This window comes from Homo sapiens, chromosome 16, assembly GCF_000001405.40.
Source record: "Homo sapiens chromosome 16, GRCh38.p14 Primary Assembly".
NCBI lineage: Eukaryota > Metazoa > Chordata > Mammalia > Primates > Hominidae > Homo > Homo sapiens.
In genome coordinates this window covers 868036-894111 of record NC_000016.10, presented here as the reverse complement: position 1 = coordinate 894111, position 26076 = coordinate 868036, and the positions used below count along the sequence as shown (strand labels likewise).

General features: G+C 60.0%; 1 protein-coding gene across 7 annotated transcripts in view, besides 3 other annotated features; it reads left to right on the top strand.

The window, feature by feature from the left end:
* LMF1 (lipase maturation factor 1) overlaps window positions 1-26076 on the top strand; it is a 127980-nt gene that overhangs the window by 87502 nt on the left and 14402 nt on the right. For 6 of the 7 annotated variants that reach the window (NR_147885.2, NM_001352019.2, NM_001352017.2 and 3 more), the window contains 6 exons: window positions 1040-1105; window positions 14375-14542; window positions 22771-22951; window positions 23230-23383; window positions 24046-24229; window positions 25056-25168. Coding sequence is in view for 6 of the 7 variants with exons in the window: in NM_001352019.2 (NP_001338948.1) it covers window positions 1040-1105; window positions 14375-14542; window positions 22771-22951; window positions 23230-23383; window positions 24046-24229; window positions 25056-25168 (866 nt within the window). In the remaining variant the exon portion in view is untranslated. The remainder of the gene's footprint in view (window positions 1-1039; window positions 1106-14374; window positions 14543-22770; window positions 22952-23229; window positions 23384-24045; window positions 24230-25055; window positions 25169-26076) is intronic. The other variant, NM_001352020.1, reaches the window with a different exon arrangement.
* Window positions 2688-3531: an enhancer, noted in NCBI's record as "H3K4me1 hESC enhancer chr16:940581-941424 (GRCh37/hg19 assembly coordinates)". NCBI's record gives its function as "activates a minimal SCP1, AML or CMV promoter by ChIP-STARR-seq in primed H9 embryonic stem cells {active_cell/tissue: H9 hESC(primed)}" and the evidence as "EXISTENCE:reporter gene assay evidence [ECO:0000049][PMID:30033119]".
* Window positions 7119-7696: an enhancer, noted in NCBI's record as "H3K4me1 hESC enhancer chr16:936416-936993 (GRCh37/hg19 assembly coordinates)". NCBI's record gives its function as "activates a minimal SCP1, AML or CMV promoter by ChIP-STARR-seq in naive H9 embryonic stem cells {active_cell/tissue: H9 hESC(naive)}" and the evidence as "EXISTENCE:reporter gene assay evidence [ECO:0000049][PMID:30033119]".
* Window positions 7697-8275: an enhancer, noted in NCBI's record as "H3K4me1 hESC enhancer chr16:935837-936415 (GRCh37/hg19 assembly coordinates)". NCBI's record gives its function as "activates a minimal SCP1, AML or CMV promoter by ChIP-STARR-seq in naive H9 embryonic stem cells {active_cell/tissue: H9 hESC(naive)}" and the evidence as "EXISTENCE:reporter gene assay evidence [ECO:0000049][PMID:30033119]".

The following is a 26076-nucleotide window of genomic DNA, read 5'->3' as shown; positions in this document are numbered from 1 at the left end:
GGGCATGGGTGGGCGGACGGCCCGGTGGACAGGGGGACGGGTGGGCGGATGGTCTGGTGGACAGGGGACGAGTGGGCAGACGGCCCGGTGGACAGGGGGACGGGTGGGTGGACAGTGGGGTGGACAGGTGGATGGAGCCCAGGGGATTTGGCCGGGAGTGGTTGTGCAGCAGAAACCCCTGTCATGGAGGAGGCGGGACTCACTTCCACATCTGTGCAGTTTCACCTCCCATGCACCAGTGTGTGAGAGACGCTGGATGTGAATCTGTGTCTCAGCGGTGATTTTAGGGTTAGCGGGAAGAGGGGACAGTTTGTTTCTGACTTGTGAAGGAATCATCTGAAGCCGGGAGTGACCCAGGGAAAGCAGACGGGTGTGGGAGCCGACCCTTCCCCAGATGCTTCACTGTGGCCCTGGCACTGCAGAACCAACCCCCAGCCCCGCAGCCTCTCTGCCCAAGTCCCACCTTCCCCAGTGCTGGCGGCTCCCTCTGCAGGCCCCTGGAAGCCTGTCCCGTGCCCCAGGAGTCCTCACAGCAGGCGAGCTGCAGTGTGTGGGAGACACACGGGGCCTGCGCCTCGGCTCCCTTTGTGCCGCAGGGGGCGGGGCTGAGACGCGTGTGCACTGGGTGCTCCCTCCGACTTTGGGCTCATCCTGGAGGCACTGAGAAGCTTCCCTCTGACACTGTCCGTGGGGTCTGTGCAGGGCGTGGTGCATTTGTCCTCTTTAAAGACACGCAACTTCTGTAGCGTGATGATGCGTGGAGCTCTGAGAATGAGTGTTGGGGAAGGCGCAAAGGAAGCCACTGTTGCTCACGCCCGCGGTGTGCACTAAACTCCTGTCCTCAAAGCAGCCCTGAATCTGCCCTTCTCAAATTCTGCCTTCCTGAGTGTTTCATACGTAAGGTCCCCTCCCTCACAGCGCCTGCAGCCCAGATCCACGGCCTTCGTGGATGGTTCGTCTTCCTGGGAAGCTGTTTCTGTCGGGGCCGCCGCATCCCCAGCCCCTGTGACTGACTCTCCCTCTGCTCTCTTCCTTGCAGGGCCTGATCAAGATCCGGGGGGACCGGTGCTGGCGAGACCTCACCTGCATGGACTTCCACTATGAGGTGAGCGTGCCGTGCAGCGTGAGGGCAGGGCACCCGGTCTCACGCCGCCCCGTTCCCACTCTTGGCGGGGCTCAGTCCTGCACACCCTGGTGAGCTGTCGCATCACAGGGTCACCCCCATTGATTCAGGACGTCCTCTCCCTCCCTTCACGGGGTGGGTGGTCACACGGGGGCTTGCTGGGGCTGCGGGGACGGGGTCTGTGGCCCTCCATGGTCTCGAGTGCAGCTGGTTTGCTCTGGTTCCTGCACGGGCACCCTCCGCTGCTGTCCTTGGTCCTGCCCAGGCCTCCGGGCCGGCCCCTCCTTCCTGGAGTCCACAGCTCCCCACCGTCCCCTGACAGGTGCCTGTTGGGGGCTTCCTGGCTGCGTGCCCAGCCCCTGCCACACGGAACTGTGGCTCCATCGTTACCTGGACACGGGCAGGTGTGTCCCACAGGGCAGGTGTGAACCACAGCACAGTTCCACTGTGCTTGGCCCCCAGACCAAGGCTGAGTCCCTTCAGACGCCCCAGTTCCTGCCAACTGCTCACGTGTTCACATGGGGGCTGGGAGTGGTCTGGGGCCTGGAGCTCACGTGTTCACGTGGGGGCTGGGGGTGGTCTGGGGCCTGGAGCTTGGATAGTCATTTGTTCTCAGTCCATGTGGGAGCCTCCTGGTAGCACCATCCCCACCCTGGGCCCGTGTGGTCATGGCCACGGTGCACCTAGAGCATCTCAGGCCTGGACACCCCTTCCTGCATTTGGCCCGTCACTCGCACCTGCACGCGGAAGCCATCATCGTCTGCCTGCTGCCGACAGCCAGTGATGGCTGTCTCACTGCCTTTGCGTTTTCTGCCAGGGTTGCTCTGGCACTCACCGCCTCCAAGCGTGGAGCTGGCACCGTCCTCACGCGGTGCCTCTGCTGCGATTCCGGGTCTTGGTCCACGTGCCGGCCTGGCACAGGCGTTTGTGCCTGCATTTAGTGGCTGTGTCCTGACTTTATTCTTCAGGCTCTTGAGATGTCTCCATAGCCCATCAAGTGCCCCGCCTTGCTGAGGACCCGTGAGCTCCTCTCTTTGTCCGAGAGCAGGTTCAGCTGACGGTCTGTGAAATACCAGAAAGTAAACACTCTCAGCTCTTTGGCTGGATGGTCCCAACACAGCCGTGACGGGGAGCAGCCGCAGGGCACACGTGTGTGAGAGGCTTTCGCCAACAAAGCTGTGCACACCGCAGCCCACGCCAGCCACCCTGCCCTCAATAAGGTCCAGCGCCCTCAGCCCAGGTCAGGAAAGCTGAGGGGACCAGTGTCTCCAGATGCCCTCAGGACAGGTCAGAAAAGTGGGCAGGGGGGCCTGTGTCTCCCCCATCACCCTCAGGACGGGTCAGGAAAGTGGTGGGGGGGTCCCGTGTCTCCAGATGCTCTCAGGACAGGTCAGGAAAGCTGGGTGGACCCCTTGTCTCCAGGCCAGAAGCTCCATAGCGCATCTCACTGAGCCCCCTGGCCCAGCACCGGTGGCGACAGCAGTGGTGCAGTGGGCTCAGGTCCACGAAGGCTGCGTGCTGGTGAGGACCGTCCCGCACAGCTTTCCATTGGCAAGAGATGCTGAGGCGCCCACCATGTCCCCACAAACAAACACTCTGATGCCTTCTCTATGGAGTGGCTGCATTTCAAAGCCGGCATCAGGCGTCCTGGGCTGCATCCCTTCAGTGAATGTGGCTGCTCTGGGCCCAGGAGTGTCTCAGGATCCCCAGGACTCACCTGGCCAGGACCACCAGGGTGTGGTGTTTCTGGGGGACGGGTCATGCCACAGCTGCACTCCGGCGAGGACGCAGGTTGCAACTCTTGGGGAGGCGGGCCGGGGGGGCCCACAGCTGCCTGTCAGCACTGCCTTCCCCTGTGTCCACGTGGCCAGCTGGGATGCAGTGGGTCCCTCCCGCCCCCATGAGCACCCAGTTCTTCCTGTGCCTTAAAGGCCCAGGACTGCCCCTCACCAGAGCTCTCTGCTGTGCTGTTTGTGAGGAGTGCTCTGTGTCAGCCGTCAACACCAGTTCAGACATGGCCCGAGACGGTGGACAGGGTGGGCCCGGCCTGGAGCACACAGGCAGGGGCAGCCCGGGCCAGAGGGATGGCCCTGGATGTCTCGAGGCACCCTCGGTGTCACTGCCACCGGAGGGTTGGCCGCAGCAGTGTCAGGGCCTGCAGGCAGGGCCCAAACCCACTCTCCCTGGAGCTTGGAGCGTGGCTTTATCTGGGACCTCCTTGTGATTAGTTAAGATGAAGTCAGAGTGGACTGCTGAGCCCCAAATCCAACGACTGTGTCCTTAAAAGAGGCCCAGACACATGGGGGGGTCCTGTGCCCACATGGCTGAGCTTCTGGAAGGTGGAGCCTCCTGGGAGGTTGGATTGTGGCTGAGGCCACTCCCATCTCCAGACACTGAGGCTGGAGTGCAGGGTGTGTGAGGTCAGGGCCCTTATCATCCACATCCCAGGACAGGCTGAGCCTTGGCTCACAGAGAGCCATGAGCCTGATGTCCTGATGGTCACACGGGGTCCAGGGCCAAGCCAGGCAGCGTGAGGCTCTGGCAGCAGCTGCTGTCTCGGGGGGCCGGGCCGGCTCCTTCCAGCTGTGGAGGCTGTCCTTGGGGAATCGCATTTCAAAACCCACTGTGACTTGAAAAGGCATGAGGGAGCCCCGCTGAGTTGGGACGGGGCCCAGGAGCCCCTTTTCTTGCTTCCCGGGGGCCCCTTGGGGCTCCAGGAGCGAGTACCTGGAGTAGCGAGCGTTCAGAGCAGTGCGGCGCCGTGCCTGCAGCAGGTGGACCGCCGTGACACGGCTCTTTGCGGTTCACTGTGTCTCCTGGGGCAGGAATGGCCCATATACCGGCCTCAGGGGCCTGGACTCCACTCGACAGACGGAGCAGTGGCCATGCCCAGTCCAAGGCCAGAAGCACTGGGGGGTCCTAGGTACAGGGGGCAGTGTGTGGGGAGAGCGAGGACACCACATCTGGGGTGGGGTTTTAGGGACAGCTACATGGGGACCCCGGGAGAGGGATGCACAGGTGGGCAGCAGGGCCAGCCAGTGTCAGGCAGCAGCCATGAGGCAGAGGGGTCCTCAGCTGGGACAGGAGCTGCATCCCCCCTCTCACCTCAGACTTGTGTCTCGGACGAGGATGCTCCCTCCCGTGTGTCTTGATGACGAGGCACTGGTGAAGGTTTCAGGAAGTCAGGGTGTCAACTGCGAGCCCAGGGCCCTGCGTGAATCCTCTCTCCAAGGAGGACCTGATTCCGGAAGGTGGCAGGCCCCTGCCTGCAACCCCCGAGCCGTGCCCTCTGCCCCACAGCATTGTGGGCGGGGATCTCAGGCCCTTTTGCTGTCTTTCCGATTCTTGCTGGTCAGATAAGGAGTCAGAGGGGGGTGCCCCTTTCTTGGAAAGTTGCCCCTATGCTGTAGGGGACGCTGAGCCTCTTCAGGAGCCTGAAAACCTCCGGAAGTTTCAGCAGCACAGAGCAAGAGGCAGCCATGCACCCCGGGGATGCCTCCCTCGGGACTCCTCCCTCCGGGCTTGGGAGCTCTGAGTGTGCAGACTTCTCTCCCCAGAAGGAACTGCTCCACCATGGCCATCCACAGCCTCACACCCACGGCCATCCGCAGCCTCACACCCATGGCCATCCGCAGCCTCACACCCCACACTCACCGCTTTTTTCATCTGCTGGTAACGAAAGGCAGTTGCCGGCAAATTCAGTCGGTTAAGCCAGAAGCAGCAGGGAAGGCATCCCCAAGTTCCAAGAGAAGGGGCCAGCCCCCTGGAGGGTGAAAGGCGACCGGGTGGCTCTGCCTGAAACTCCTGACAACAAGCCTGTGGCTTTCCTCACGTCGTGTTCCCAGATCTCTGTGGACTCCACCAGGGTGCCCTGCAGCTAACTCAGTTCTGACGACCTCTACCCAGGGTGAGTGCAGACCCCGCAGGCCAAGGGCCCGCTCCCATGAGACACCGGGGATGCATGGACGGCCGCTTGCTCTCAGCCGGCAGAGGGACCAGAGCCATGTCCTCAGCACCGTTGTGAGGACCCCCAGGATCCCAGGGCCAGCGCAGCACAGGAGAGGGGGGATGCAGCTCCTGTCCCAGCTGAGGACGCCTCTGCCTCATGGCTGCTGCCTGACACTGGCTGGCCCTGCTGCCCACCTGTGCATCCCTCTCCCGGGGTCCCCATGTAGCTGTCCCTAAAACCCCACCCCAGATGTGGTGTCCTCGCTCTCCCCACACACTGCCCCCTGTACCTAGGACCCCCCCCAGTGCTTCTGGCCTTGGACTGGGCATGGCCACTGCTCCGTCTGTCGACCAGGGACGGGCGCCGTCCAGAATGCAGCAGGCTGTGGGGAGGGTTGCTGCGGTCCCCACATCGGAGCGGTTGCCTGACGACGCGGATGCAACAGCAGGTTGTGAATGTGGGGGTCACGCAGCTGCTTTTAGCAGCAGGGATGGCACTAGCTGCTGAAATGGAAAATCCGGGCCTGTCCTCTCTCTCCACTTGGGTTTTAGGAAGTCAGCTGTCATCAAGAAGGATGGAGTGAGGACTCCCACAGATGGTTTTGATGCAGAGAAAACTCACTGGATCTGGAGTACAGGGACCCTGAACGTTGCAAACAATTCTCCATTGCTTTTTAGGGGAGTTGAACATAACTCTGTTGCTAGAAAGCTGCGGGAAATCCAACACTCTGATTCAGTCCCACGGCGCTCCTTCCACACCCCTTTCGGAGCCACTTCCCAGACGCGGCACAGGGCAGCCCCTGCCAGGGCCTGGGCGGGCAGGGACCCACGGCCACTTCCCTTGCTGCCTGCAGGAGTACCCCACTGAGCTCCACCCCCTGCACCCCAAGGCTTGGGCCGAGGCCGGGCCTGTCTGTGAGCTTGGGCCGACGTCGTGGAGAACTACAATTCCGTCCGCCGAAGGATGCTGTCAGGGCTACAGACAGGCCCCGTGACGGGCACGGAGCCCCCCAGAGTCGACTCACCGCTGGGGCCCAGGCCACGCACCACAGACCCTCAGGGAGCTGCCTGACCAGGGCGGGGGTCCCCTGGATCTGCCTGGGGCCACCTACGCTCCTGGAGCAAGGGTGTCCCAGCCTGTGGCCGGCAGCCTGCAACTTGGGGGTGCGTCTCTGGGCTCCCACACCTGCAGGGGGAGTTTTAGGCCACTGCTTAAGTAGAGTGATCCGGAAGCACTGCCCCTGCCTGAGGTCACTGTCTGCACCCTGACTCCGGGCCCAGGCCACGGCCATGCCTTCCAGGGTACCTGCGACCACCCTGCTCACCCTGAGGTGCTCTCGGAGGCTAGAGGCCATTCATGCTAGGAGCGCGCACTCTGCGTGGGGCGGACCACACAGAGCAGCCCTCTCTGGGCTGGGCTCCCAGAGTTCTGCGGGGCCTCCAGGCGTGGGTGGGAGTGGCTGAGGGGGTGCAGAGCTGCTGTGGACGCCCCCCAGGGACATGGCCCTGCTGCCTAGAGCAGCCTTGCTGACAGAAGCCTCGGCTCACGCCCCCGTGCCCGCCGAGCTCCCCCACGGGTACCGAGACCGCGTGTGCCCCAACACTCCCAGCAGGAGCTGCAGGAATCCGTGTTGAAGTGCTCAGCCTGGCCCGGCCAGCTTCCACGCAGTGTATCTTGTGGCTGGTGCATCCCCGTGTCAGGCAGGCGCCCCTTTCCAGCCTGCCCCCGCAAGGCTCACACAGAGCACAGCGGCTGGGGCTGCTCCTGGCTGACTCCCAACAGGGAAGCTCAACACAACCTTCTATCCTCCTGGTGTCCCAGGACCCACCCAGCAAGGATTTGGGCCAGGAGATCCTGTAATGCCTTTAACTGCGACCAGGAGCCGTGGGCTGCCAGCCCGCTCAGACTGTGGGTCACCAAGCGCCCTCAGATATGGGGGCCCGCTAATGTGGAAATAATATATATCCAGGTTGGCGTCGCCCGTGAAGACTGTAAATGTCACCATTAGGGGAACCACGCCTGAATCCCATCCGGCGGCTGGGAGCCGAGGCTTCTCGCCTTGTCTCCTGGCTGTTTTATTGGTTTTTGTAAGAAGAGAATGTTTTCTCTGTGTGCTGGGGGCTGGGAAGGAAGGGCAGTGCCGGGCCTGGGGAATGCCGGGGGCCTAGGGTGGGAGGGGCCTGGGGAACGCCGGGGGCCTAGGGTGGGAGGGGCCTGGGGAACGCCGGGGGCCTAGGGTGGGAGGGGCCTGGGGAACGCCGGGGGCCTAGGGTGGGAGGGGCCTGGGGAACGCCGGGGGCCTAGGGTGGGAGGGGCCTGGGGAACGCCGGGGGCCTAGGGTGGGAGGGGCCTGGGGAACGCCGGGGGCCTAGGGTGGGAGGGGCCTGGGGAACGCCGGGGGCCTAGGGTGGGAGGGGCCTGGGGAACGCCGGGGGCCTAGGGTGGGAGGGGCCTGGGGAACGCCGGGGGCCTAGGGTGGGAGGGGCCTGGGGAATGTCGGGGGTCTCGGGTGGGAGGGGCTTGGCCTGGCAGGTGGCCCGCTGCAGGGTGGTTTTGGCCGGGCGCGGTTCAAAGCCCCAGGCCCGTGCCCTGGCATCACTCAGCAGAGCAGCCCACTGGGCGAGTGCAGGCCTGAGGAGACACCGACCTTCCGTGGGCCTGGATTTCCCGCTTGTCCTGGGGTCCTCTTGCCAGGGACAAGCCGTGGCTGGGGGAGACAGGGGTGGCGCCTCAAGGTCAGCAGTGCTCACGGCTGTTCTACCCACGCAGCCAAGGACAGCAGCGCCTGCATCTGAGCCCTGTTGTTATGCAGCCCTGTGCTGCCCATCCTCCATGCGCCCCTTACTGGCTTGTGTGATCCTGAGCAAGTTCTGTCTTTCCAGCTTTAAACTGATCACCCACTACCCTACGGCGGTTGTGAGAATCAAATGTCGTAACATGCACTGGAATGAAAGTTCCTTAAAGGCTCCAAAGAGACGGGGATTTTCCAGATATCTTTCTGTTACTGGTTTCTAATTTAATTCCTTTATTGTCAGAATATACTTGATATGCCTTGAGTCTTTTAAAATTTAGTCAGATTTGTTCTGTAGCCCAGAATATGGTTTGTCTTAGTGAAAGTTCCGTTTGAGCCAAAAATGAACAGACAGTGTTCTGTCAGGATTCATTAGATCAAATTGGCCAATAGTGTTTTTCAACTCTTCTGTACGTCCTCATTTTCTGCCTGTTTTATCAATTATTGAGATAAGGGAGATTGAGATCTCCAACTATAATTATGGATTTCTCTATGTCTGCTTACATTTCTATCCGTTTTTGCTTCATGTCTTTTGAAGCTCTATTATCAGGCACATACGTGTTTGAGAGTCTTCTGACCTCCTGATGAACATTGTGAAATGGCCTCCTGACTGCTGATCATATTCTCTGCTCTGAATTGTGCTTTGTCTGGTGTGACGGTGGCCAGTCCAGCCTTCTCGTCGCTCGTGTTTGTATGGTATGTTTTTCCGTCCTTTACCTTTCCGCCTGTGTGTGTCTTTGTGTTTGAAGCGGATCTCTTAGAGCTGGCGTATGCTTGGGTCTTATGTTTAAATCCAGTCTGACAAGTCCTGCCCTTTATCTGGGTGTCTGGGCCGTTTGCATCCAATGCAGTCTTTCCTGGGGAAGGTTTCAGCCTGTTGTCTTGCGATTTGTTTTCTGATCCTCCCATGTGTTCTCTGTTCCTTTTTGTTGCTGTTATTTTACACCTTCCTCTGGATTAATTGAATATTTTTGTGACTCCTTTTTATTTTCTTTCTTGGCTGTAACTTTTTTGTCTTATTTGTGTGGTGGTTTTAGGGTTTATAGTATATGCCTTTAATCCATCACAGCTCACCTTCAAGGTATACTATGCCTATCTCATAAATGCTGAAAGAATTTTACAACAATATTCTCCCAACAGTATTTTCCTCTCCTGGCCTTTTGCTATTATTGCCAAACAGTTTGATTAAACAGTCCAGTTATCTTTCAGAGACATTTCATTCAATTGGAAGAACAGCCTCATTGTGTATCCATATACTTACCATTTCCGGAGCTCTTTTTTCCATCTGTGATCATTCTCCCTCCACCTAACATCACCATTTCCAGAGCTCTTCACTCCTGCGTGGAGATCCAGGCTTCCATCCGTGATCATTCTCCCTCTACCTAATATCACCATTTCCAGAGCTCTTCACTCCTACGTGGAGATCCAGGCTTCCATCCGTGATCATTCTCCCTCCACCTAACATCACCATTTCCAGAGCTCTTCACTCCTGCGTGGAGACCGAGGTTTCCATCCGTGATCATTCTCCCTCCACCTAACATCACCATTTCCAGAGCTCTTCACTCCTGCGTGGAGATCTAGGCTTCCATCCGTGATCATTCTCCCTCCACCTAACATCACCACTTCCAGAGCTCTTCACTCCTGCGTGGAGATCCAGGTTTCCATCTGTGATCATTCTCCCTCCACCTAACAGACTTGACATTTCTTCTAGCATAGGTTTGCTGGTGACAAGTTCTTTCAGCTTGTCAATGTCTGACAAAGTCTTTATTTCACCTTCATTTTTGAAAGAGATTGTTGTTGGGTATAGAATTCTAGGTTGACAGGTTTAGTACTTTAAAGATTGTACTCTACTCTCGTCTCATTTGCATTATTTCCTGTGACAACTCCTTATGTACATACTCTGTAACATCTTTATTTGCATGTAAGATTTTTATCACGAGTTTTAAGCAATATTCGATTATGATGTGTAGTTTGTAGTACTATTCTAAGAGATCCGCTTCAAATACAAAGACACACAGGCTGAAAGGTAAAGGATGGAAAAACATACCAAAAACGTGAATGAGTGACAAGAAGGCTGGACTGGCCACCTTCACACCAGACAAAGCAGAATTCAGAGCAAAGAATATGATCAGGAGTAAAGAGGCCATTTCACAGTGTTTATCAGGAGGTCAGAAGACTCTCAAACACGTATGCGCCTGATAATAGAGCTTCAAAAGACATGAAGCAAAAATGGATAGAACTGTAAGCAGACATAGACAAATCCATAAAGTTGGAGATTTCAATAATAGATAAAGCAGGTAGATAGAAAATAAGGAAGGATGTAAAAGAGCTGAAAAACACTACTAACCAACATGATCTAATTAACATTTATAGGCAGTTTGTGACAATTTGATTATTTGTCAATCAAACTACAATCAAAGTGATCAATAGTGTCATATTGTCATGCAGTAAAATGTGACCATTTGGTTATCTGGTGTTGTTTTCCTCATATTTTTTGTGCTTGGAGTTCGCTGAGTTGCTTGAATCTATAGGTTTATCATTGTCATTACATTCGGAAAATATTTGGCCAATATTTCTTCAAATATTGTTTCTGTACCTCTCCAGGATGTGAGGAGGCTTACACGGGTACGAGTGCTGAGCCCTGTCTGGGGTGGAGGGTGTGTGAGTCAGTACTAAGTATCTGTTACCCAAAGACTCAGAAAGACTTTTACTTTGGTTTCTCTAAAATGGGGTTTTCCCAGTAACATCAGAGTTCAACACTGTTTGGCTTCTGGATTCAGGCTGTTTCAGAGATCTGCTATTGCCCAACACACCCCAAGCCTCAGTGGCTTAGAGCAGCAGCATCTTTCTCCTGGTCCTGTGACAGGTTCTGCTGGGCAGCTCCTCTTTCTCCTGGTCCTGTGATGGGCTTCGCTGGGCGGCTTCTCTTTCTCCTGGTCCTGTGATAGGCTCTGCCGGGCAGCTCTTCTGCTGAGCAGCTCCTATTTCTCCTGGTCCTGTGATAGGCTCTGCTGAGCAGCTCCTCTTTCTCCTGGTCCTGTGATGGGCTCTGCTGAGCAGCTCCTCTTTCTCCTGGTCCTGTGATGGGCTCTGCTGAGCAGCTCCTCTTTCTCCTGGTCCTGCAATGGGCTCCGCTGGGTGGCTCCTCTTTCTCCTGGTCCTGCAATGGGCTCCGCTGGGTGGCTCCTCTTTCTCCTGGTCCTGCGATGGGCTCCGCTGGGTGGCTTCTCTTTCTCCTGGTCCTGTGATAGGCTCTGCCGGGCAGCTCTTCTGCTGAGCAGCTCCTCTTTCTCCTGGTCCTGTGATGGGCTCTGCTGAGCAGCTCCTCTTTCTCCTGGTCCTGCGATGGGCTCCGCTGGGTGGCTCCTCTTTCTCCTGGTCCTGCGATGGGCTCCGCTGGGCGGCTTCTCTTTCTCCTGGTCCTGTGATAGGCTCTGCCGCCGGCTCCTCCTTCTCCTGGTCCTGCGATGGGCCCCGCTGGGCAGCTCCTCTTTCTCCTGGTCCTGCGATGGGCTCTGCTGCCGGCTCCTCTTTCTCCTGGTCCTGCGATGGGCCCTGCTTGCTGGCTTCTCTTTCTCCTGGTCCTGTGATGGCCTCTGCTGGGCAGCTCTTCTCCTGAGCAGTAGCAACTTTCTCCTGGTCCTGTTATGGGCTCCCCTGGGTGGCTCTTCTGCTGCACGTGGTGTCAGGTGGGGTCATTCACGAGCTGATAGCTAGGCCGGGAGGTCCAGGAAGGCTTCACTTGTACTGGAACCTAGTGCATCTCCCGGTGGCCTTGCCACATGGCCACCATTGGCTTCCTCACAGCTTGGTGGCCTCAGAGTAGAGGGACCTTTAATGGGGTTGGAGCTGCCTCTTCAAGGACTGAGCTTGAAAGTTCAGAACATCACTCACGCTGCATTCTCTTGGCCAAAGCTGAGTCCCAAGGTCGGCTGGGATTCCAGGGGAGGCGAGCCATGCTCAGGAGGGGCAGTGGCCACTACAGCTGAGCCTGATGCTCTTCTCTTTTTAACACAGCATTGGGTCATGTCAGCCCCATGTCTGTTACATTTGTCACCGTCTTTATCACTCAGTGTCATTTTTCTCCATCTGCAGTTGCCTTGGTGGGAAGTGGGGGTTCCACGTCCACAAAGGCATCGCACTGTGTCCCTGCTGTGGCCCTTTCCCAGGTGAGGTTCTGAGAGCCCGTGGCAATTACCACTTCGGGACACAAACATCCAAGGGCCGCTTCCCACGGGGACGCTTGTGATTGGCTTGTTCCTGGAACACATGGGACCTCCTTCTTCATCCCAAGACCCTCACCTGATAAGCATAAGCAGCCCCCGCTCCCCTCCCCGTCAGAGCTCAGCCGACACACGTCAGCAGCCCCAGCATGCAAGAGGGAAGGAGAGGTTAAAGTCCCCCACCCCAAAAGCCAGACCAAGAGCTGGGACTTCGGGTGTGGGCCTAGCCCTGGAGATGCTTGTTCCCAACACCTGGCCAAGCCTGCTGCCTCCTGCATGGGTCTCGCCGCAACCCCAAACACACAACAAGCAGCCTAAAAGGGAAGTGGCAGACCAGGCATTCCGGTTCTTCTCTGGCTTTTCCCTGTGGGCACTAGGGGGTGGGTCCCACATGGGGCACTCAAGCCCTAACAGACGACACTCATTCTCCCCCAAGATCTGCTGCCTTCTAAGTCCCTAAACAGGTGTCATCCCCTTCACTCTTTCCTCATGTTTTTCTTATTTAAAATTGTCTTTTTAGGAGAAGTTTGCAGGCTGTTTCCTGAGGTCTGGGCCAGCAGCACCGCCATGCCCTGACCCACCATTCCCCTGGCCGCGGGCTGAGTGTCCCAGCTGCACGGGAACTCCTGGCCTTGCCTGCAGCATGCGACACTGCCACACCCACCTCACGGCTCACAGCCAAGTTTCAGGTCATGATGTTTTCTCCTAGCCTCAGTGTAAACAAAAATAACTCTTTGCCCTCTAAGCAAATGAGCAGAGGCCTCAGGACCCTCCCCAGCCCACGGCTCTTGGGGTGCACTGGGGCCCTGTGCCCGGTCACCCCCTCGGGTGTGCACATGGCCGCCTCTCCTGCGCTTCCCACACCCCCACCCCGGAGCAAGCGCTGCCCAGCACAGCCCCTATGTGCGCTTTCTGCCACCTGGGGGCCCCGACTTCCACGTAGCCTCTCTGGACCCTGGGAGTCCCAGGACCTGGGTGCGGATTCTGAAGCGTCTGGGGGCCGCCTCCCTCCCTGCAGGGCGTGTTCATTGTTGTCCCTAGTGGGGTTTCTGCGGCTGTGCCAGGCCCAATGGCTCCCGCGGGCTGTGCTAGCAAGGCCTTCAGCCCTGAGCAGCATGCGGGCAGGCCCCTCCACAAAGGCAAGCAGAGCGTGCAGCATCGTCCATCTAGGGCACTCTTCCCACCACCACCCTGGGCTCACCGACTCACACAGCCCTGGCAGTGCCACTCTGGATCCCGTTGTTGGGGGCTTCCAGAAAACAGCGTGTGGGGGCCTGGGCCCCATTTGCCAGTGGGGTGTTCTCACTCCAGACAAGTCTGCACAACCACTCTGACTTGATTGATGGATCGACTGTCTGATACAAGGTCTTGTTCTGTTGCCTAGGCTGAGTGCCGTGGCACAGTCGTGGCTCACTGCAGCCTCTACCTCCTGGGTTCAGGCGATCCTCCTGACTCAGCCTCCTGGGTAGCTGGGGCTACAGGCACGCACCACCATGCCCAGCTAATTTTTTATTTTTATAGAAATGGGGTCTTGATAAGTTGTCCAGGCTGGCTTCAAACTCCTGGGCTCAAGTGATCTGCCTGCCTTGGCCTCCCAAAGTGCTGGGATCACAGGCATGAGCCACCGTGCCTGGCCTTGATAGTTTTGAATTATGGTGCAGGGCAAGTTCCCACCCTTCCTCCTGGCTGGGCTGCTGAGTGGGACCCTAGGTGTGGGGACTTCTCTGTGCCTTGGCCTGGGAGGCTTCCAGGTCCCCACAGCCAGGTCTTGCGCTTAGAGCCTTGAGCTGGGCTCGGGACCCGGGCCCCATTCCTGCTGGTCCCCAACCGGCACGTCCCCACCCACGTGTCCATCCCCAGGGAAAGGGCATCCTGAGCCTGAGGGGCCGCCTGTGGACCCCGGCTCTTGGGGGTTGCAGCTTGGCCGCCTGTGGGCAGCAGGCGGCGCGTTCTCCGACTGCCTGTTCTCCGACTGCCTGTGTTCTCAAGTTGGGCACGGGGTTTACAGGTGTCGTCTCTCCTTCAGCTGGGGTGTGTATTCTTTGCTTTTAGATGGTAAAGATTTTAAGACAAAAATGAACACTTTGCTTTTGCTTCAAAAGCTCCCTGAATGTCTCTTGGCCCCTCTTAGCGTGGCAGGTGGGCTCCACGTGTGCAGGGCCAGGCGGGCCGGGGGGATCCTGTGTGCAGTAGGAGCCGGGGTCAGGGGGCCAGGGACCCACAAGCCTCTCCCTAGCCCCGCCCCCCGAGATCGGCCAGGCACCTCACGGCCCCTCCTGTCCCTGCAGACCCAGCCGATGCCCAATCCTGTGGCGTACTACCTGCACCACTCACCCTGGTGGTTCCATCGCTTCGAGACGCTCAGCAACCACTTCATCGAGCTCCTGGTGCCCTTCTTCCTCTTCCTCGGCCGGCGGGCGTGCATCATCCACGGGGTGCTGCAGATCCTGTTCCAGGTGAGCCCGCGCCGCCCGCCCTGCCCCGTGTCCACAGAGACGCTGGCCCGTCGCCCTATTTCTGGCTGCCCCGCTCTCTGGGAGGACCCTGGGGCATTACAGGCCCCCTTTCTTGGGGACAGCCTGTCCTCCCCAGCCTTCGTTTGTGTCACGGGCCCCACTGCAGCCCTGTCCCGGGCTGCAGGCTGAGGGTCTCCTTCCCAGGCTTCCTCCAAGGACTGGCTCCTCCCAAGAGCGTTTCCTGCAGCTGCGAGAGGCCCGGCCATGTCCTGGGCTCGGCAGTGGGACGGGGTCAGCACGCCAAGGCCCTGTGTGGACACCCCCACATTCCTGGGATCCACTCCTAAGATTCTTCCATTCTAGAGGTTTCCTTTCAAGTGTTCATGTCAGTCCACGGGGAACCAGGGTCTGAGAGAGGCCAGGGTCATTTGCCTCCATGTGGGTGAGGGGCTGCCTCCCCCAGCCCCCGGAACCCCGGGTACCCCCTAACGCCCCGTCCTGCCCACAGTCACCGCCATCCCTGCCCCACAAGCCCCCTGCATTGAGGGCGCCTCGAAGGACAGAGCACCCCCACGCTGCCTCCAGGGGGGCTGGGCCAGTCCCGAGCCTTTGCTTTTCCCTGTAAACGCTACATTCCGACTGTCAATTCCCAAGGAAAATGTGGTGGGGATTTTAAAGGTGGTTCTCTCTCTCGATTGTTTCAATGGAGGTGTAACATACAGCCAGGAAAATGCACAGGTCCAGGTGGCGTTCCACGTGCTCTGGAAAACAGATGTACCTGGGTGTCCCACGCCCCTTCCCCTGCCCTGCCCGCCCCTGCCCCCGCCCTTCCCCTGCCCTGCCCACCCCTGCCAGAGCACCGCCGCCTAGAGGGGCAAAGCTCCGTCAGCAGGCACGGGTGCCACGCCACGTTGGTGCACGTGGGGGCGCCCATGGTTGTTGGCCGGGTCCTGTTTCACGGTGCGTGCCTGCGGTCGGTTCACCCGTCCCGTCTGTGCACGTGTGGTAGTTTCTGGTTTTCACCACAGCCTGCCGTGCAGAGGTGCAATCTCGTCATCCTGTGGATGTATTTTCAAGGGCGCTACTGTATCGTGAGCAGGCCTGTGATTCACCTTACTGGAAGCTGCACGTGTCCAGGGTGGCTGTGCTGTTCTTGACCCCTCCCCCCAGCAAGGACCCTCACTCTGGCCGCCGGGGCCCTGAGCAGCTCCTGACTCCCTCGGGCTTTTCCGCGTTAGCTGCTTGGAGGCTGGCACCGGTGCCCATCAGGTGATTTCCCTGTGGGCATCGATGTCGCCGTGAATCTAAGTGGGAAGAACGGACTTGCTCACAGATCGTCCCCCAGCCAGGACCGCACGTTTCTCTCTGCAGCTGCTCAGGGCTCCTGGAATAGCTTCAGTCGGTTCCATGTAGCCGGACCCCACGCGTGTTTGGGGGCTCCTGGAATAGCTTCAGTGGATTCCATGTGGCTGGACCCCACGCGCGTCTGGGGGCTCCTGGAATAGCTTCAGTCGGTTCCGTGTAGCCAGACCCCATGTGTGTTTGGGGGCTCCTGGAATAGCTTCAGTGGATTCTGTGTAGCCAGACCCCACGCGCGTTTGTAGGCTGCAGCTCTGAGGTGACTTCTTTTTGTTGATGTTGTAAATGGTGCCCTTTTAAGTCACACTTCCTCCTCTTGGTGGCTAAGTGTGGGACTCTGGTGACCTTGACCTTTCTCAGACAACCTCTGCACTGGTACTTCCCCGTCTGTCTGCGGGTCCCTCAGAGACGCGTCCTGTGGGTGATCTAGGGATTCTGCCGGTTCTACGTCCATCCCTTTCTCCCCTGCTGGGCGGGCTCGAGTGCTGTCCTGGGTCTGGGGTCCCACAGCAGGGAGGGCCCGCCACCCCGCGCACTGCCTCTCACGATGCCGGCTGTGGGTTGTTTTCGTGGCTGCTTTTATTCACTTCTCCTTTGTGGGTTTTTAGCCATGAATGGATGTTGAGTTGTGGCGTTTCTCCATCAGTCACGAGATGACTTGTTGTTTCGTCTGTAACGTGGCGAGTTACATTAATGCTGTGGATGCTGAAGCAAGTTCACATTCCCAGAACATCTGAGCCTCTTCCTCTGCGGGAGTCTGGAAAGCAGAGGTGACCGTCCCTCACACCTGGCAGTGCTCCTGCATGAGGCCACCTGCGCCGCCAGGGTCTCTGTGACTGATCACCCTTGCGGGCCGTAGGACACGCAGAGTTTCCATTCCTTCTTGACTTGAGGCAGTTTTTGTGGTGAACATTTCCCTGGGAATTTGTTCATCTGTTTTCAAATCTTTTGGCAAAAAAAGTCATAGTATTATCTTAGTTTTATAGCCTCTCAAGTAGCCGGGACTACAGGTGCCACCACGCCGAGCTATTTTTCATTTTTTGTAGAGCTGGGGGTCTCGCTATGTTGCCCAGTCTGGTTTTGAACTCCAGGGCTCGAGCACTCCTCCTGCCTGACCTCCTAAAGTGCCGTGACTGCAGGTGTGCGCCCGGCCTCAAGGCCTGTGTCCTCACCGACACGCATCTCCTGAGACAGCGGGGAGCAAGGTCATGCTTAGGGTCAGCGTGGCCGTCTTTCTCTTTTAAGTAACAGGCCCGTATATCTCAACTGACATATTTGGACGTATTTCCACATCTTTGTGTTTTTCTCTTTGTTCTTTGTATCTTTCTCTCTCGTTTTTTTCTGTTATTTTCCCTCCTCTAATGGATAAGGAAGATCCTCTGTTTCCTCAGTGGTTATCAATCAATCAGCCATGTTAACTTACTGAAGGTCTCAGTTTGGGCAGCATCTTTGCCACCATGACCCCCCGAGGTCCTCAGCCCGCCCAGCCCGCCTCTGTCCAAGGTCCTCAGCCCACCCAGCCTGCCTCTGTCCGCCCCAAGCCACTTGCGTCCTTTGCTCCAGTGTTTCAGCTCTGTTTCGTTTTATTAATTGACTTATTTTAGAACACTTTTAGATTTTCGGAAAAACTGTGCAGAGACTACAAAGGTTCCCTTATCCCCCCCTCCCAGTTTCCCTGCGCTCAGCGTCTTGCATCGGCCAGGACCTTGTATAGTTGATAGGCAGGACTGATAAACTGTTGCCAACTAAAGTCCCGGCTGACAGGAGAGCCATTCGCAGTGTTGCTCATTCTGTGAGCTCCGACAAACGGACGACGACACGTGTCCCCATCACAGCTTCATGCAGAGTCGCTTGTGGCCCTGGAAGTTCTCTGTGCCCCGCCGACCCTCCGTCTCCACGGTACTGCCTCTTCCGGACATCCTAGAGTGGGAAGCATTGTGCAGCCTTTGCGGACTGGCTTCCTGCCCTCCGCGGCCGCGCGTGGGCTCCTGCACCTCCTGCAGGCTCCACTGCTTGTTTCTCTTCGGTTCCGAGACGCCCGTGGTCCGCACGTGCCCCGGTTTGTTTCTCCACTCAGCCTCTGAAGGGCAACAGACGGAGCCCCGGGCACATGTGCTTCCCACAGGGCGCACAAGGAGGGTTGTGCTGAGCACAGGCGTGGGGCCAGGGCCGGCTGTGCCAGCCCCGGGTCCCACTGCCACCCAGGGAGGGGTGTCCAGCCTGAATGGAGGGGTGTGTTCCAGGATTCCTGACCTGGGTGGGGCCACACACACGGGTGACTCCTGAGCCGTCTTCAGCCATGCGGTCCTGGGGTCCCAGCTGCTGGAGGAGGGCCGGGCTGGAGACTCCCGGGAGTCACCCCGACCCCACACACCTCCTGCGTGGGCTGTGCTGCCCCAGGGTCCCGCCTGCCCCTGCCGGTGGAGAACACAGAGATGCCCACGCCAGGCTCGGGTCTGGTTCCGAGGCCGGTCCAAGGGCACCCCTGGACACACAGCCCAGGCAGGGGTGTTGGTCTGCTTGGCTCCGTGGCTGCCTGGCAGTGGGGAGTGCTCAGGATCCCACCTCCCGCTTCCATGGCCCGTGTACCCTGTAGCGTCCCTCCCTCAGGCTGTGCTGGCCAGTTCCACCACTGCCCCTCTCCCGATAAGCTGATGCTGCCTGGGAGAAGCTCTCATGAAAAGCAAGGTGCTGAGTTACTTAAGTAAATGGAGAAAGTGGGAGTCACTTGAGGGCTGAGCTACCGTGACATGGAATGGGGAGGTGACCCTTGAACCAGAGGCCTCAAAAACGTCCTTGTTTATTCAGAACGCAGGAACCTGGCCAGGGGGTTAGATGAGAATTGGACCAACGGGCCCTGGTGCAGGCAGACAGGGACCCTCCCAAGCATGACGGCCAGGCTGCGGGTTCCCTTAGTGCCGGTGCTGGCCCCGTTTTGGAGTCCGCTGCCTGGTGGGGTGAGTGGCGGTGGACAGTGGGGATGCTGAAAGGGGAGGGGACAGAGCTGGGCCTCACTGCACCTGGGACTGTGAGCACCACCCTCAAAGACCCGGCACAGGCAGCGCCTCCCTTCCAGGCCTCGGAGGTCAGGCTGCGTCATCCTCTCCAGCCCCACACTGTGTCCAGGACGAGGTGGAAGCACCAGGGTCGTGGCTGTGCTCTGCGGCGTGGCCTGGCGTCCCCCCTTGGAAGACAAGATGGTCGGCCGGCAGTCCCGGCTGCGATGTATCCTGCCCCCTCACAGGCAGTGTGGGGTCTTGAACTAGGGCTTTTGCCCCCACAGGCGTACAGGGCAGAGGGTGTCTGGGGGATGATATGGTGTGGGGCTGAGAGTGACCCGCGCCCTCTAACATTGTAGTGTCCTGGCTGGGGCTGCGTACTCCCCTGTGCCGCGCTGTGACAGCCGAGTGCCCTGAGACTTCTGAGCGCCGCCTGCCTGGAGCCTGTCCTGGTTCCGTGTGTTCCCATCTGAGCGCCGCCTCCCCGGATCCCGTCCTGGTTCCGTGTGTTCCCATCTGAGCACCGTCCCCCGGAGCCTGTCCTGGTTCCCGTGATCCTTCCGTTGGGGAGTTGCGGCATGAGCAGCCTCCCTCCTCCCACGCAGTTTACACAGCTGTTCCGGAGGGTTCCGCGGGGCCCTGGGGCCGCTGCCTGCCTGGAGAGGTGCACAAGAGCAGTGACCGCAGAGCCCGGCCGCCCAGCCAGCACCCCACGGGAGCCATCAGCCTCCACTAGGGCACTGGTGACAGGGAGACGCAGCCCCGGACTGCCAGGGCGGGAGGGGCAGGGGGTGAGCTCAGGTCTGGAACCTCTGAGGCGCCTGCCCACAGCGGGCTGTCCGGCCCCACCCCACCCCGCCCTGCCCAAAGGGCTCCTTGCCCTGTGGTGGCTGCACCCCACGCCCGCTCAAGACAGAGGCCCGGAGGCCCTGCCAGCCCCGCACACACAGGCCGGCTGTCCTGAGGCTCTGTCCCAGAGCTGGGCTCACCGGCCCTTAGCTGTGTTTCGGTTGTGATGAAACAACACAGATAACGCAAAGTAAGTTCATGCTTTTGAAGTGAACTCGGGGGCCTCCAGCACGTTCACAGCGTGATGCAACCGCCGCCTCCGCCTGGTTCCAGAACTTCCCATACCCCCCCCACACCCGGCAAAGGAGACCCTCACACCCGCCGCCGGGCCTCCACCAGCCACTGGGAGCTTCATCTCTGGATTCCCGACTCGGACGTTCCATGCAACTGGCATCCTACAATGTGCGGCCTCCGTCCAGCCTCCCTCCCTGAGCACCATGACCCTGGGTCTGTCCCTTTCGGGGCACGTGCTGAACTCCGATTCCTTTGCAAGGCTGCATGCGTTTCCGTGGGTCAGGCATAGGGCTCTGGGTCACTGCTGTCGTGGATGCTGATGGACTGGTGTTAGACCTCAGCAGATTCTCTACCTCCCACCATGTTCTTCTGCCCTCATCTCCTCTCTGTGACACTGAAGAGAGACCTGGGTTCACGCCCACCAGAGTGCCCACCTGGAACACAATGCATTTCCTCAGCAGAGGGTCCCCGCGAGCGCAGGGGTGTCCTCGGCGGAGGGTCCCCGCGAACAGGCATGTCCTCGGCGGAGGGTCCCTGTGAGCGCGGGCGTGTCCTCGGCAGAGGGTCCCCACAAGCCACCTGTTCTCCGTGGCAGCTGACAGGCAGGAGGCTGCATCCAAAGATGCCACTCTTCCTTCTTGGGGCCATGCGCCGTTGGCCTCGGAACACCTGCTGCTCCGTCTCTTGGGCCCAGGATTCCATCACCTCAAGCTCCTCTTCCTGTGCCGGCCTTGGGGACCCCCTCGGGCCTCGCCTCCGCTCCCAGCCACCGGCCGGGTCATCTGTGGGCCGCACAGCCTTGTGAGGACTCCGCCGGCGGGGGCGAGCACAGATGGGCAGTGAGAAGACTGATTTCCCTCTGAGGAGATGGCTCAGTGATGCTAGAAGAAAAACAAGGAAGGCGAGGTCCCCCAGGAGCGCTCAGGCCGTGCACTCTACGCGGAACTGCGTTTTCATAACAAAACAGCCGACCAGATGGAGGGCGAGAGATGCACCAGAGCAGCTGAACGGGGCGCAGCTGGGGATGCCTCTGCATGGAGCAGGGCCCCGAGCCCCGAAGCTTTCTTAGAAACAGGATCTGATGCCCAGATCTGTGCTCTCTGGAGCCCTAGTTCCCTGAGGCTAGAGTTCCCCACTGAGCCCACAGCAGGATGACCCAAGGGGGCTTTGGAAATACACTCAGGCAGGGCCCACCCTGACCCAGGCAGGCAGGTGCTCAGGGCTGGGTGTTCCTCAAAGCTCCTGATGGTTCTGGCATGGCCGAGCATCCGAACGGGCACTGGCTCAGGCTGTGCCCCAGGTCGCTTTGGTCCCATCTGCCAGTCAGGCTGACCACAGCGAAGGGCCAGAAAGACCCGAGCTTTTCCCACCAGGACATTCCAGTGTCACCTGTGGCATCTCCTCCAGAGCATCCCCAAGAGTGGGCCCAAAGGTCAGACCTCAGTGCCTAGCCCTGCACCCTCCCTGTCACGGGAGCTCAGGGGCTCCCAGCCACCCCACCCCAGACCAGCCCTGGTCACACTCAGGACGGAGGGCATGGGGGTCTGGACCAGCGGAGGGGAGCTGGTGGCAGAGGTGGCTAACCCCAGCCAGGGCGAGGCGGGGCTGTTTTTGGCACAGGGGTTTAGTAACCTTGTAGACAGTGGAGAATAAGAAATAACTGTTTTGGGGCTCAGAACCAGAAAAGCTATTTTTCCCAATTCACCCAGGGAGAGCCATGAGTGCACAGTTCATAAAACACCATCATCGCCCATAACACTGATGTGGCTGCCCTCACGAGTCCCTTCATTAGACGTCGATGTCCCTGCCCTCAACCTTCCTCCTGAGTTACGGGGATAAAGGCTGGGCTTTGATGCATCAAATCTGGCTGACGGAGCTGTCTGAGGAAGCCACACCCAGGTCCTGCCGGCCCAGGGTCCACCGGCTCAGCTGCAGACCATCACCCATGCAGGGCGACCGGCCACGCAAGCTGCCCCTGTCTCCCTGATGCCTCCACGGCAACGGCAGGGGTGAGGTCTGGCAGCACACCTGTGATATCACCCGACGGAGCTGCAGGGACAGCGGCTCCATCTCCAGTTTCGTCACCTAACGATCGCTGGCCTGCGGGGATGTCCAGAAGCGGGTCCCTCTGAGTCCCTCCTGCCGCAGGTTTACTCACTGCTGCTGCTGAGTCTTTCCTTGGAGCTCTCCCAGCCGTGCTGCTCAGCCAGCCCTGCATGCAGCCCCTCCCCTCTCCTGCTGTTCATCTCTGTGGCACAGGGTCCTGTGCCTGTGTCTCACTTCCTTGCATTTCGTATTTTGGAGTGGGGGCGTTACTGGTGGCCCCCCCACGGCCCCTGTTGTCTGTGTCACCCATCGGCTGAGGGGCGTCCCCAGTACCCACTCTCCAAGCACAGCCTCCTCTGTTTGGACTCACCAGCCTTCCCCGGGCATGACCCCGGCAGGTGCCCTCTGAAAGTGAGGAGTTCCAGGAGGGCACAGGGTCTGGTGGTCTGGTCCAGCCCCCGCCTTGCGGATCACTAAAGCAAGGGACAGAACCTGCACAGAAATGTGCAGTCATGGGAGGAATGTTCTGGAAGCACCTGCCGGAAGGCACCTCTGAGGCATCTGCTGTCCCCTCCATGAAGGCACAGCTGGGTTTCAGTTGTGATGCTGGGCCCGAGGGACAGCAAGGGCAGAGCTGGGTGCAGGTTCCCTCCCCCCTCCCTGCTCCAGGAAGAGAGGCGCCAGCTGCCCAGGGGCCCCACACGAGCCCCTGCACGAGACTCAGCTGCGGCGTCTCCACAGGCCGTCCTCATCGTCAGCGGGAACCTCAGCTTCCTGAACTGGCTGACTATGGTGCCCAGCCTGGCCTGCTTTGATGACGCCACCCTGGGATTCTTGTTCCCCTCTGGGCCAGGCAGCCTGAAGGACCGAGTTCTGCAGATGCAGAGGGACATCCGAGGGGCCCGGCCCGAGCCCAGATTCGGTAGGTGGCTCAGCTGGGGGCCCCTGCCCAAGGGCAGGAGAAAGTCGGGTGGTGCCAGCCCCACAGCCTGCCCGTGTGGGTTGGGGACGCCAGGGTAGGAGGAGAGTCAGCGCCGTCCGCAGTGTAGCGTGCCAGGAACAAGGTGTGTGAGTTCGGGTGCTGCTCCGTCCCCGGGACCCAGGACAGCTGACCCTTAGGGAGCAGCAGCTGGGGTCTCCCCAGGGACAGGCCACGGGGCAGCTGGGAGCCCCACCTGGAAGATGTCACTCCCCTGCCAGGCTCCGTGGTGCGGCGTGCAGCCAACGTCTCGCTGGGCGTCCTGCTGGCCTGGCTCAGCGTGCCCGTGGTCCTCAACTTGCTGAGCTCCAGGCAGGTCATGAACACCCACTTCAACTCTCTTCACATCGTCAACACTTACGGGGCCTTCGGAAGGTATGAGCCTGGGGTCCCCGTCCCCCGGAGCTGGGTATATGGGGAGACTCAGCCCTGACCAGCCACATTCAGGTGGGGTTACAGTGCAGGCCCCCATGACCCCAAGTGTCCCCTGCCCCACCCCAGCCTGACCCAGGCACAGGCCGTGCTGTCCCCACTACCGGGCCTGGACACGCAGGCCTCCTCGTCCTGGTCCCATGAGGCAAAGGGGCAGGGCCCGAGGTCACCAGGCAGGTGGGCTGCGGCCCTGGAATGCCTACTGGGGGCGTAAGGGAGAGGCCACCAGGCCCCAACCCCCTGCGTGGGAATGCCAGGTAGTGCCACCTGAACACAGGCACCCTCCCTGTCCTGGGGCCAGCCCCTTGGCCTCTGTCCCCCTCATGTCCACCCTGAGCTGCCGAGGGGCATGGGGCACATGGCGGCTGCAGCTGGGTCTTCACGGGCAGAGAAGGTGTTCTCGAATGAGACCCTGGGGCCACAGTTCCCAAAAGTTCTCCTCAGCCCCACCCAGCCTCTCAGTAGCCCCTGACCAGGAGGCAGGTGGAGGCTGTAGCCCTCCCCCTGGGCCAGGATGGACAGTCGGGGAACCCCCCCCACCCATGCACCCCACTCGGCCCAGCCGGTGTGTGACGTGGGCCTGGCCTGCCTCGGTCTCCCGGCAGCATCACCAAGGAGCGGGCGGAGGTGATCCTGCAGGGCACAGCCAGCTCCAACGCCAGCGCCCCCGATGCCATGTGGGAGGACTACGAGTTCAAGTGCAAGCCAGGTGACCCCAGCAGACGGCCCTGCCTCATCTCCCCGTACCACTACCGCCTGGACTGGCTGATGTGGTTCGCGGCCTTCCAGGTGGGGGACGGTCCCTGGCGGGCGCATGGACCTGCCTGTACCCCACCCTCTTCTGCCCATAGATGGCAGGTTTCTAGAACGCCCACTGAAGGGGCTGGTGGGGAGGGAGGCTGGGAGAGATGGGATCCTGCCTGAGCTGAGAACTGAGCCCACACGACATCCAGGCCCAGCCTTAGGAGGGGCCTCATGTGGGAGCCCAGCCCCACCGTCCCCCCGGGTCTGCCAGGTAGTGTCTCATGCCAGGAATCCCAGCCCGGGTGCCATAGCGAGACCCTGTATCTACGAACAATACAAAAGTTAGCCAGCAGCTGAGGGTGGCGCCTGTGGTTTCAGCTACGCAGGAGGAGGAAGGATCGATTGAGCCCAACCGCTGCAGCCTCAAATGATGGCAGCGTTGCCTTCCAGTCTGGGGGACGGAGCCAGACCCTGTCTCAGCGAACAGGAAAGAAGGAATCCCCAGGGCTGGGGGTAGCAGAGGCACCCATGGACAGAGCTGCTGTTTCTGTCCTCCCGGTCCCGTCTCAGCCACCAGAAAACTGAGCCTCAGGGAGGCAAGGCCCAGACAGAGGGTGCTGGGGTGGACAGGCTCCAAGGCACCCAGCCAGGGGAGCGAAGCCAGCGGCCGACATGGGAATGAGTGGTCAGGGCTACACGAAGCAGGCAGCCCCTTAAGGGGACCCCAGCCAAAGAGCTGGAGTGCGGCTGCCCAGGGAACCCACCTCCAGGAAAGCCTCAGGAGGGAGTGGAGGGCACAGCCGAGCGTCCGGAGGGGCTGTGCCTGGACAGCGAGTGGCACAGCCGTCTCCAGCCCGACCTCTCCTCCCAGACCTACGAGCACAACGACTGGATCATCCACCTGGCTGGCAAGCTCCTGGCCAGCGACGCCGAGGCCTTGTCCCTGCTGGCACACAACCCCTTCGCGGGCAGGCCCCCGCCCAGGTAGGATGCCCTCCCTGCCGCTGCTCAGGGGTCTCCCCCAAATCCAGGTGTCTGCTGGGATCCCACCACCTGTACCTGCACCCCCACCTGCTCACGGGAAGCGCCCCTTCCCTCCCGCAGAGGCAGGAGGTGGGGCCTGCTGGGAGCAAAAAGGGCCCCCCCCCCCCGCCCCACATCAGCCTTGGCATCAAGGCTGGTCCCACCCCTGCCTCATAGCCCACCTCAAACCAAACCAGCCGTGGTGAGAGGAGCCCAGGACAGCTGCTCTGGGCAGGGTGACCCCGGCTCACAGCTTTGTTGAGGTGTCCTCTAGGTGCCACCTCTGCTCCTGGCCTGGAGAGGCAAGAAGGACAGGCAGGGCCCTCACTCCAGGAGCCCCAGGGGTCCATGGTGAACTGGGCAGGGGACTGCAGTGAGAGCCCTGTGGGCCCTGCAGCCTCGCCCACTCCGGCCAGTGACGTGGTGACATTCCAAGGAGGGAGCCCCGCAGGGTCAGATTCTCAGGAGCCAGAGGTGGTAGCCATGGGGGAAGTCACCCTCCTCTCCATACCAGGGATGACTTTCCAGACTCCACGCAGGGGAGCTGGGGTGCACAGGGAGACACTAAGGACCCTGAGCATTGTGACCAGAGGACAAGGTTTTGGGGAGAGCTGGGGCCTTCAGAAGAGGAGCAGGAGGCAGGGATGGGGCCCCGCTGGGGTACGGGAGGGGATCTGAGGACAGTGTGGGGTGGGGCCCAGGGTGGGGCAGAGCATGGAGGATTGGAGACGTCCACGTGACCAGACCTGGGGCGGCCACTCTGACAAGCGTTTGTATCCCCTGCCCCACATGGTTGGGATTGAGCAGCCCCCTGGAGGTAGCAGGAACAGAGCAGAGTCTGGACTGCCCACCCCTCCCCTGCGCCATCA